The sequence below is a fragment of the Homo sapiens genome, chromosome 1, assembly GCF_000001405.40.
Source record: "Homo sapiens chromosome 1, GRCh38.p14 Primary Assembly".
In the NCBI taxonomy this organism is placed as follows: domain Eukaryota; kingdom Metazoa; phylum Chordata; class Mammalia; order Primates; family Hominidae; genus Homo; species Homo sapiens.
In genome coordinates, this window is record NC_000001.11 from 188,901,730 (window position 1) to 188,914,403 (window position 12,674).

At 31.0% G+C, this 12,674-nt stretch overlaps 1 long non-coding RNA gene across 1 annotated transcript in view; it reads left to right on the top strand.

Annotated features, from left to right (window-relative positions):
• The first annotated feature begins 3,942 nt into the window (after positions 1-3,942).
• Positions 3,943-12,674, top strand: part of LINC01035 (long intergenic non-protein coding RNA 1035) — a 132,144-nt gene continuing 123,412 nt past the window's right edge. The window contains exon 1 of the long non-coding RNA NR_174955.1: positions 3,943-4,197. This is a non-coding gene — a long non-coding RNA (long intergenic non-protein coding RNA 1035). The remainder of the gene's footprint in view (positions 4,198-12,674) is intronic.

The following is a 12,674-nucleotide window of genomic DNA, read 5'->3' on the forward strand; positions in this document are numbered from 1 at the left end:
TCTCCACAACAAACTAGGCATGTGAAAATAACATAAAACTGACAAACGTGCATTTTCCCAGTTTCTATTTCCATTAATTCAACTTTCTTTCTGTTTATACTGCCCATGCTGTAAAATTACTGACCACTCATGTAGGGGTTCTGAATATTTTCATCTGCCCTGCTTTTCTTAGTGACCCAGTTGAACTTTGCTTCAGACACAAGGAAAAATATATGATAGAGACTCAGGAAGAGATAATGCTTTTGATGATTTCTTTACAGTTTGTTGATTGTCTTCAAATTGAGGGCTCCAATGAGAGCCAGACAATCAATGATTCTAACTATGCTGTTAACTCCAAGCTCTATAACCTTATAAAAACTCAATAAACTCTCTTGGCTTCTGGTTATTCATCTTTGGTAAAAGGCATTTATAATAAATGTTCTCAATTTTATAGGAATTCTAACTCTCCTGTATTTAAAACTAGTTATTTTTATAAATTAATATGTATCTAATTTTTTGAGGTGCACTCTGAATTGTCAGGATTTCTGCTTTTTCAATTTAAATAAATCTTTACCTTTTTATTTAACAGCAGTATAAAACAATTTGAGTAGAGCAGCTTTTCAATTAATATATACAGTGAAGATAATAAGATGTTTGTTTCTAACAATGTATTGGTGATAGATTAACTATTGCGTAGCATGAATTTAAGGCCTTGAAAAGCAACGTCAGAATATAAATGTGTTTTGGTGGGAAGTGACTATGTTGTTTAAATAGTTTGAAGAATATAAAGACTGGAAAACATACAGGACCAGCTGGTCAGTTGAAGATTATAGCAATAATCCTCCAGCAGATGATTAGACCCTGGACTGAGATGGAGAATGGAATTTATCATGGACTTATGCATCTGAACTATTGCAATGAAGCAGAGAGAAGCAATACAAAAATCTAATAGGATTTTCAGCTTCATATAGCAAATGGAAGAGGTGGGGAGTTGGTAAAAAAAAAAACTGTTTATAGAAAAAAAAGTAATGTGGTCATAGGTATAATCTAAAATGAAAATGAGAAAATCAAACAGGATAATTATTTTTAAAGTGCTAATTTAGACTTGTATATGTGTAGGTGCAGGCAGCTGTCATTCTGTAATTTCCTGCTAGATCTCCTTATACACTCAATTTTATATTATGATTGTCTCTTATAACATCTATAAATGTATCTTTATCTTAAAATCCTTAAAGATTAAAGAGAAAATGAGGTGACTGGCTGTGGTCAAAATCAATCAATTTATTAATCAACACACTTTCCTTTAGATTTGATTAGACTGCTTAGAAATAAAATGCTTTGTTTTTAAGGAGTAGATATTTGTTTTAATGCTAATGATACAACTGATATTTAGAGAAATTAATTCAAAATTTAAGAAAAATGCAAGTTATATATCTTATGCCTTTAAATGTTTTAATATTTAGTGTAAAGAAGGCAAGTTCTATACTTTATGCTACTCATATCTGAACCCTTAAACTTCATTTAAAAGTAACTACATGCCACAGAATTTCAAATGGCCTTTCTCATCACAGTATGGTTATTTTAAAAATTCAATTTGTGTTAACATTATAGTAACTGAATTTAAACTGTCAGGGCTTTATAAAATGTACATTTCTCAGAGTGTTAATTTTATCTGAGAAAGACAGAGTGTATCACCATTAAGTCAATGATCAGATATGGAATTAAATTCAATTACATTTCAAAACAAAATACCAACCAGATTTCAAGATAATTGAATTAAAGTGTTATGGCTTTAAATTTGAGAAATATGTTATTTAAAATGCTTTGCACAGTCAAGTATACTTGCATATAAATGCACAAACATCAGACAGGTTTTTTTTTTTTTTTTGCATCAAGTTCAGTCAGCCAAATGTGCAGTATAAACAGATATATCAATTCAAAATTAGGCAAGTATAGTCAGGCTAATTTTGTCATTTCTGATAAAATCAATCAGCCTAGTCAATCAAAATAATTTATTTTATTTGTAATCTGTATACACATAGACTCTGAAAATAACATAGCATATAATTTTAGACTTAATTATGAAAAATAGGTTAATTTATTATTTCTTGACAATTTTGAAATAGGGATGAGTAAATTTAATGATGTAAAGCATTATTAACATATTTTTCAAAAAATGTTTGAATAGGAAGTGGGCTTTTTCATTTAACAAACTGATTAAAATAATTTAGATTACAAAATTATTTGTGCTGTGATCCAGCTGTCTAGATCTCAGTAACTTGTTCTCTGTGCTGTGCATCTCAACAAGGGAAAGAAAAGAAGGAAGGAAGCAAGGAAGGAAGGAGAAAGAAAGAGGAAACAAAGAAAAGAAAGAAAGAAAAAAAAAAGAAAAAAAGAAAGAAACAAAGAAAGGGAAATAGAGAGGAAGGAAGGAAGGAAGGGAGGGAGGGAGGGAAGGAGGGAAAGAAAGGCTTGAATCAATCCTGAAAAGATGACATCTGATTATTGATTCTTTGAAGTCCTCAACTTACAACTTCACTCAAGGTAACTCTGGAGAGGCAGAGGCAATGTACGTAAACTGGAACTCTGTAGTCTGAGAAATGTACTCTGCTGAGAAATGGGGAAGAGGAGAATAGATAAAGTGTTTGACATGGTTGACTGTGGACTCAGATTTCTTATCTGAAAATACCTATGAGTCAGCTTCTGAAAGGCCTGTCCCAGCACACTTGTGGGATAATGAGAAGGCTTCCTTGCTCTCTGACCCTTAAGAACAAAGAAGCAATCTGCATTTGCAGGTGAAGTTGTTCCTAGACAGAATGGTAGGAAGAAGTCTCTTCTTGCATTGGAGTAACGTGGCTATCCAGAAGAGAGTTTTTTTCTGTGTATGTGTGTTTATAGAAATTCCTTAAGAGCAGAAACTACTATTCCATTTAATAGCATTTGCATGTAATAGTACCTCAAGCAAAAGTGATTTCTGGGATACAGGGAAGATATATGAAGGAAAAGGAAAATAATTTTAAGAAGTGAGTCAGGGTTCAAAAGCTGATGGCAGCATTGAAGCCTTGAACATATACCTCCTGTTGAAGTGACACTAAAAGACAAATCAGCTAAAAGAATGAGCAATAAAATAGCAAAACCCATTGGAAAATTCAGCTGGAGTATACACATATGTGCATACACACACATAAACAACAAAGATAGAAAAATTTTATAATGAAAACCACATTTCATATATAAAAATTTATTAGGTACATTGAAAAAAGTAATATTTACTTTTGAAAATAACTGCTTTTAAAATAAAGAAATATGTAATGATAATAAATGAAAATAAAACAAGATAAAAAAATGAAATAAAATATTAAGAGATATGAATGAAAGGTAGAAGAGACATAAGATGAATAATAAAAGTTCCAGAAAAAGAAACATGGAATGATATGAGGAAATAACAAAAGCCATAATAGAAACAAATTTCTTTCACCTGAAGAAAGATTTGAATGTGCCCATTGAAATGTTCATGGTAATCCAGTGAAAATAATTTAAAAGAAAAAATTAGACAAATACTGGTAAAATCCTTAACTTTCAAAGAGAAAGAAAAAAGTCACAAAGTTCAAGATATACAGAGACAATTTGTCATGAAACTTTACCTGATTTAGAAATTTGGCATTAACACTGCTAACACAGTACATAAGTCAAAAATTACAGTGTTAAAATTATCTTGAAGTTTACTATATTGGCTTATGTTTCATGGCTGTGATGGGTACTATTGAGTGTCAACTTGATTGGATTGAAGGATGCAAAGTATTATTCTTGGGTGTGTCTGAGAGGATGTTGCCAAAGGAGATTAACATTTGAGTCAGTGGGCTGGGAAAAGCAGATCCACCCTCAATCTGGGTGGGCACCATCTAATCAGCTGCCAGTGCAGCAAGGATGAAAGAGATAAGAATGAAAGATATGAATGAACGTATCTTTCAGAGAAATATTGAAGGAGTAAACTGGGTCTTCCAGCCTACATCTTTCTCCCATGCTGGATGCTTCCTAACCTCAACATTGGACTCCAAGTTCTTCAGCTTTGGGACTCCAGGACTCTTTGGGACTCTTCAACCACAGACTGAAGGCTGCACTGTCGGCTTCCCTATTTTTGAGGTTTTGGGACTCAAACTGGCTTTCTTGCTCCTCAGCTTGCAGACGGCCTATTGTGGGACTTCACCTTGTGATCATGTGAGTCAATACTCCTTAATAAACTCCCTTTTATATATACATTTATTCTATTAATTCTGTTCCACTAGAGAACCCTAGTATAATGACAATAGAAATATGCATATGCATATTTCTGTAGAAACTATGTATTTTTAATATAATTACACTTGGCTTAGCAAGATGCCCAAGTTAAGTTTGATGCATCTGGATGTTTCTGGAGGAAGCATATGATGCATTTTTATGTCTTCTAAATTTATATAATATGGTAATAATTCAGGTTTTAATTCATTTATGACAAACGTTTAAATTTGTGAGCTAAGAAAAATTTACAAGTAGCAAATTAAAAAAATACATTTTCATCTTTTGTATCTTTTCCATAATACTTTGAAAACATACCAATTAACTAATAAATCTTTTTATTATTTTACCACATTAAAAAAGAGTTATTGTCTTCAAATATTCCCATTCCAGCAAAATAAATCACGTATACTAAATAACCCATTGATTTTTCCACTCTAATGGTTATGCATAAATCTCACAATAGGCCAAACTGCTTGCAGTTCTGTATTGTTCAAGATACAGACATTTGTACTCTCTCTATCTAATTATTTTCCATAGCCAAAGTAACAGCCTCCTTACGTTTCCATGTAACACTCCAATAATGGTGGTCAATAATTTGATAAGAATGTGTTTTAAAGATTTTTACATTTTTTAATGTTTACATTTTGGTGGTGATTTTACGATTGTGATTGTCCTTGGGAGTCATAGACTTTCTTCAATCTACGGCTTTGTACTTTTTGTCAGATTTAGAAAAGTTTTAGCTACTCCTTTCCAATATTTATTCTTCTACCTTTTTCATCCTGGACATCTGCTTTAATATCCTTTTCCATTAGTTCCAGGATATCTCTGAAGGTTGAGTCTGTTTCCATGGGCTGGATCACATATCTCTGGTTATTTGCCTATGCAGTAATTTTAAAATCAGATATTCAGTATTGTGATACTATATTCTTATATTTCTATTTTTTCTTTTTTTTTTTTTTTGTCTCTAGAAGGTGGGAAGCTTTATTTTGACAAGCATTTACATTGCTTTGAAATTATTTTTAATCCTTTCGAGATTTCCTCTGAAACTTTGCTATTCTAGTTCTAGAGAAACCTTCACTACATGTATAGCTCATCTCTACCACTTAAGTGTCACAACTCTGGAGTCTAAATGTCTGAGTGACTGATTGATGACTATCAACTCTGCCTGATTGTAGCTTAAATGTGCCTTCTCTCCCTCCTTATTTGAACTCCAAGAATTATTGAGGTTGCCAGTTCTCCCCCACGACCCGCCATGTTTTAAACGTGGTTTGTGGAATTTCTGTCTGTACCTGCACATTCTAGTGATCAGCAAACACTCAAGGGGGTGCCTAAGCAGACATCTGTAGCTCATTCTCTATGTCCTTCTTCCTATAACCCTGGTTTACCATTCGAGGCATCTTAGCTTCGTATTCTGATCTCCGTGTCTATTTAGTGACGCCATTGTGCTCTGTGGCTCCCCTGACACTGATTGGAAATCGCCTCCAGACAAAAGATAATTGCACTGCTCAACTATTTTGTTCCTCTCAAGGATCTAATTCCTCTGCAGGCTTACTGTTAAGTGTGTGAAAGGACTTGTTTCCTATATTTTGTTGAGCTTTTAATTTTTATTGTTGGAGGTTAAAATCCAGTTTTTGTAACTTCGTCATGACTGAAAGTGGAACTCCAGGTATTATAATTTTTAAGTTTTCACAAATTTGAATGGAAAACAGTATTCTTTTATATTCCTAGTTACCATTTAAATTCCTTCATTTTTTATTGTCAGTTCATAGTATTTGTATTGAATTTTCTTACTGATTTATATGAAATTTTGTAGATATGTTTCAAGTTTTTGTCATATATGGAACATATTTTCCTTTGGTATTTCCTTAAATTTTGCTCAAGTTTTGGGTTGTTTTATATGCAAACCTTTAAAAATTTTATTACTCAAATTTATCAGTTTTTATTTTGGAGTTTACCTATTTAAAAGGCTAAATCCTAAAGTAACTAAATGTAAATACAATTGTATTCTAGTTCATATTTAAATATGTGACTTACTTATTATTTATTTTGGTGTACAGTGTAGGAAGTGATAGGTATAGCTATCCATCAACAATCCACGTCACAAATCCTCTATTTCCCTGCCAGTATTATAGCTGATTTGCATATGTGTTAGATTATATGACTACATTTCGCTGATGGAATTTAAGTGAAAATATTGTGTGTTACCTTCAATCCACAGTTTTGGTGGTTTGCCCTTTATCTCGCTGTTTTCTATTTTAACTGAGTATAGAACAGTTCAAATTCCTTGGGTATGGGAGAGGTTAAAATAGATAGAGTCTGAAAGAAAGCTGCTCTCTGATGAGGAAAAATTTTGTGGGTTATTACACAGGTCATTATACTTTCATAGTATGTGTACTATAGCAATTAGCATAGCTAATAATGAGATTAATAAAAATAGGATTATCATATTTTTTAAACAGTTACTTGTTTCAATACCATTTATTGAATGGTTCATTCACCTACTTAATCATAATGGTGTTATCAGTTTTCCAGGCAATTACTCTCTTGTAACATAATTTATTGAGTGATTAATCTGTCCCCTATTTTGAAATACTTTTTTCACAAAATAACTTTTCTTTCATAGTGAGATTTCATTAAATTTTTATGTACATTATTCCATTTATCCATCAGTTTTTCTTTCAGATATATACTATGTTTAGCATCGTGCTTACTTAATAGCCTTTAATATTTGTAAAGATAAGTTTGCTTTAACATTTAATTTTTTTCTTACCTGTAATATTTCTTTATTTTTCTAGATGATTTGGGAATTTAAAGCAATTAAAAAAACAGCATATCAGTTGAAATTGTGTTTAATTTATAAATTAATTGTGTGGAAACTTTTATGATTGAAACATATCTCTTTTCAGGAACATATTATCTTTGCCATTTATTTAGGTCTCCTTTTAATTTCTTTTGTGACATAGCCTCAATTATATAATTTTATGTAAAATAGTTGGAGATCACAATACTGAGGTTCAGAAAGAAAATGGCATAATATTAATGGCCATAAAAAAGTTTATTACAGTTTTTATTCGGATGAATGTAACTGAACACAGAACATCAAGGCCTCACATATCCGTGGGACAAATAGTGTATCATATTTGTACACTCCTGTTCTTTATGGAAGAAGACTGTAAACAATTCTTGGATCAGTGTGGACAATGTGCTTCACTCAGCATGCTTCCTATGATCAGAGAATAAGCAACATCATTTATTTCCATTTTGGAGGAAATATTATTCAGTGACCTACACCATAATCAAAGATCTAGGTATAAATTATAAGAATATCTGACTTCAATTATATTAACTTACTTACAGTACTCAATCCAAAAGCATCTTTGACTTTCCTTTGTTGTGCAACATTAAAAGTAAGCATTCCTTTATACTCATTACTTATTTATCCTCAAATTTTATGTTGTCTAAACATGTTCTCTAAGGCTGTCAAATACAAGTACAAGGCACATATATTTATTATTTGTGCCTTGTACTTGTACCTCAGTAGTTCTAGGTATGAATGTCCTAATTGCCTCAACTATATATACACCTTTGTGTCCTGCAAATCTTTCCAACTCCTTATTCCAAAGAGAACTCAACTTGACTCCCTGACACATACCTTTTGTCTCCTGGTTCTTTTCTAACAGAATCAACAGTATTTCATGGTATCAAATACAACATATAAAAATTGCTGTAACTCTGCTGCTTTTCTCATTCCCAGATTTCATGGCTAATATTTCAAATCAATTCCACTTCATTATCTTTCAAATTTATCTTCCTTTCATTGATTTTATTTCATCAGGTTAGATATTTATTGCCTTTTATTTGATCATCTCTAATAAGTTCTAAATGGTCTCAACGCTAAATGGTCTCAATGACTCCAGGCTTTCCCTGCAAACATTTTTTTCCCCTCTGAAACATCATTATATTCAAATACACTTTTAATTGCTCCCAAAGGCTCTCATTCATTGGCTCTAACGTCTTCTTCCTGTTGAATCCCATATCCTCATGTTAATCTATATTAATACACACTTTACCCCTTACATGGCTCAAATTTATAATACTGGTGATAATGCACAAGCTTTTCCTTTGGCCTGAAATATCTGATAATGTAAAATATTTTACTTTTACTTTTTCTCATAATTTGGGCTTAATAGTTTTAGTTATCTGATCTCCATTGATTACTAGGGTGTGTTCTTTCAGTTGCCAATTGCAAAATCATAATTTGATACTGGTAAAAAGAAATATTATTATAATATAAAAATTTATTTTCTTCTTCATGAGGATGCAAAAATCTATTTTCCTTTTCTCCTTTGCAGTTGAGCCAGATGTATGGTCTGGGTCAAAACAATCTAGGAATAAACTGAAAATATGTGCATCATTTCTAAGAGTGGTTTAAAAACAGATGGAAGTGCCAGGCGTGGTGGCTTATGCCTGTAATCCCAGCACTTTGGGAGGCCGAGGCAGGTGGATCATGAGATCAGGAGTTCGAGACCAGCCTGACCAATATGATGAAACCCCGTCTCTACTAAAAATACAAAAATTAGCCGGGTATGGTGGTGAGTGCCTGTAATCCCAGCTACTCAGGAGGCTGAGGCAGGAGAATTGCTTGGAGCCCGGGTGACAGAGCAAAAGCGAGACTCCGTCTCAAAAAAAAAAAAAAAACAACAGATGGAAGCAATCAAGTTTTCTTCTTATTTGTTATGTGATCATGAATGACACCTATTCAAGATGGCATTGCTACAAATGGAGGAGAGTAGCTTTACTCTCATCAGATATGTCAAGAAAAATGAACTTTCTTTGAGTAAAAAATATCATGTCCTTTTCCCTTTGCCATATTTAGGCTTCCCTCCCCCCATATCTCAAACTGCTAATTTACACAAAAATTCCATTTTCAGACATGTCTAAATTATCTACCTTATTATATACTTAACAAAAAAGTGTGACAAATTTTTAATAAGTTTTCTGTATAAAAATGTTTGAAAGTTGACAATCTGTAAAAACTGACTTACTGAAGTTTTAAGATTTTAGTGTACAACACTTGATATTTTAAAAATATGTTTTATTTCTCTAATTGAGGCTTCTGCAAAACTGTATTTAAAGAGATTTCTTAGTACAAGTGTTGAGTGAAGTAAATTTTAACAAATTTTTTGAACTAAAATTTTCTTTCATAAATTATATGTTTCTTTTCTCTTCCCTAAGTTAGCTTTTCACTTATCTATAAATATTTCTTTTTAGACAAAAGGTGTGAATTACGTTTTAGAAATTTGTTTTTAGTACTAGATATTTCATCTCATTAACTATGTGTTCCTCTTATCTCAAGTTTAACTCTGCACTTACCTACATATATTCCAAATTTAGACAAACTTTCCTGGTGGTAACATTCAGGTGAATCTTAATAACATTTTTCATGAACAACCTATTATACCAGATTTGACAAAAAACATTATAGCTTTAATTCTAGAAATCATAATCAAAGTTATTTCCATTTTGTTAGTAGTATTACTCATCATAGAGAGAAATCAAAGCTATTTTTGAATTTCTAATATTCTGGAATACTAATGCTTATGTTTAATTTTGTTTAGAGTGATCTATATAAGAGAACTTCAAGATATTACTTAATTATACTTGTGTGGGATTAGCTGTAATAATCATGTAAAATACCATTAACTTTCAAAATGTGTACAATGCATTTTTCCCCAGCTATGCCTGTTTATTTTTAAAATATGATTATATTTCTATAGAAAATAAAGTAGCATGGTAATCATTTTTGTTCAACTAAAACATGAAATTGCAATTATTTTAAATATTCTAATTTTTCTCATTGGTTCTAATCCAAATTTTCTTTATTTTTCTGAATACTCTAGAACTTGCAGTGTACGCTGTTATCATGATCTGCCTTGAATTAATATTATATCACTTTACATGTAAAAAGCTTAAAAACATGTTTGCATTTTTTTCTCCCATTTTATCCTGTTATTGCTACATATTTTACTTAAATATATAATATAAAAAATATTTTTTGAAGAAATAAAAAAAGACGTATTTTATCTCCATGTATACCATTTTCAGCAATCTCCATTCTTTTGTATGTATTCAAGTTTTCTTCTAGTATCATCTTTTTACATTTTAACAGACTTCATTTAGCATTTTTTTAATAAGGCTGACTTTGTGCTAACAAATACTTCCAGATTTTATCTAAAATTTTTTTTTCATCTTAAAGGATATTTTTAGTGGATTTATAGTTATGTCTGTCTGTCTATCTATCTTAGTACTCTAAAAAATAGCATTCTAATGTCTTAGGGTTTTTGTTTTTCTACCTTTTCTGATGAGAAGCCATTAGTTATTCTGAACATTAATTCTCATGTAGAGTGCAACCTCCCCTGCTGGTTGTTTTTAATAGTTTTTCGTTGTAATTTGATGCTAAAATGCCTTACTTGGGGGATTCGTGGGAATTCTTGAATCTGTGAATTTATAGTTTTCATTTTAAGTTTGAAAATAATCAGCCAGTATATCTCCATATATTTGCAATTCAATCTTCCCCTTATTTACTTCTGAGATTATATTTATGTATATATTAATATGAAATATTATACCAGAGGTTGCTAATGTTTAAACAAATTTTCTATGTTTTAAGTCATTTTTCTCTTTTTATGTTCACCTGTTCATTACCTCTATTTTCAACAATATCCAATATGATGTGAAACCATCTATTGGACACTTTGTTTCAGATATTGAATTTTCTATTCTAGAATTTTATGTTTGTTTTTATCTATAACCTTCATTTTTCTTGTAGAAGTTCTTATATGTTCACTCATTATGTATATATTTTTGTTTAAATCTCTAAACCTATGCATAGTAGATGTTTAAAAGTTCTGGCTTTGGAATTTTCAACATCTCAGTCACCTCAATGCTTGTTTCTACTGACTGTTTTGTCTCATCTCCCCCACCACATCTCATTCTTTATTGTTTGTTTTGGGTTTTATTTATTTGTTTTTGCCACTTAACATTCCTGCTTTTTTTGCATGTTTTAAAAATCTATATTATGTACATCATATTGTTATGACATTGAAAGTGAATTTTATCATCTTCCTTCAAAAAGTGTTGATTTTTTTGGGTGAGTGGGGGGAAGCTAACAGCCTTTTTAAAAGGGTGAAGACAATAACAAGATGAGATGGGGCAAGTAGAAAAAAAACATTATTGTAGACTTAATCCTAACATATTCATAATTATTGTAAAATAAAAATGTATTAAAAATCCTGGTGAAAAGGCATAGACTGTAGTACTTGGTTAAACAAAAAAAGCAAGATTGAACTATCTTAATTTTGTAAGATATGTAATTTAAATAAAAATACAAAGATACATTGGAAGACTGGAATGAAATACTAACAAACAGATACAATACTAGTAAAATAAATATTTAAAAACCTGAACATAAAAAGTTATCATGGATATAAAATGATGTGTTCTTTCATACACTGTATGTGGAATGTTAAAAAGGGAAACTACTTTGGAAAATTATTTGGTATTTAATTTATAGTTAAATAAGAACTTATTTGAATGAGCTATTCTACACTATGTATGCACATGATAGAAATTGAAAGAATTTACACAAAATTTATTTATAGCAGTTTCCAAATAGTAGCCTGAAGTGGAAACAATTTAATAATTGTCCATCAACAGGACAAGATAAACAAAATGTTATATATTCCTAGAATGTAATTCTACTTAATATATAAAGTAGTAAATTATTGATACAATAAATGAATAATTATCCCAACATTTTGCTTAGGAATTCTGCACACAAAGAAGTGAATACTGTATGATTACACTTAAATAAAATTTTTGGATAGTGAAAATAACCTATGGTTAAATATCAGAAGAGAGGTGATTACATTTTGACTGGGTACCTATTGGGAAGGGGCATGAAAATCCATTGTGGAAATATCAGGGGTCTGGAAACATTTCTGTAAATTGATAGGTAGTATATATTTTAACCTCTTGGGACCATAGGCTCTCTGTTGCAACCACTCTATATTTCATTACTCTGTAATACTCTTTATTACAAAAGTAGCCATAGAAAATGCATAAATAAATGGACTTAGTAGTGCTCCAATAATTTTTTAAAAAACAAATCAGCCAATGGCCTGACTTAGCCCATAGATTATAGTTTTTCAACCCTTGCTATTTATCATGATAGGGATATGGGTGTCATGACTGGATGCATTTGCAACAGTTTATAAAAATGTAACACATAATGTACATTTAAGTCTCTGTAAGTTATGCCATAAAAAGAGATGTGGGCTAAAATTTTATAACTTTTATAGTTCTCAAAACTCAGAAACTAAAAATTGGTATAAATTTGTTAGGTCTTTTGCCTCATA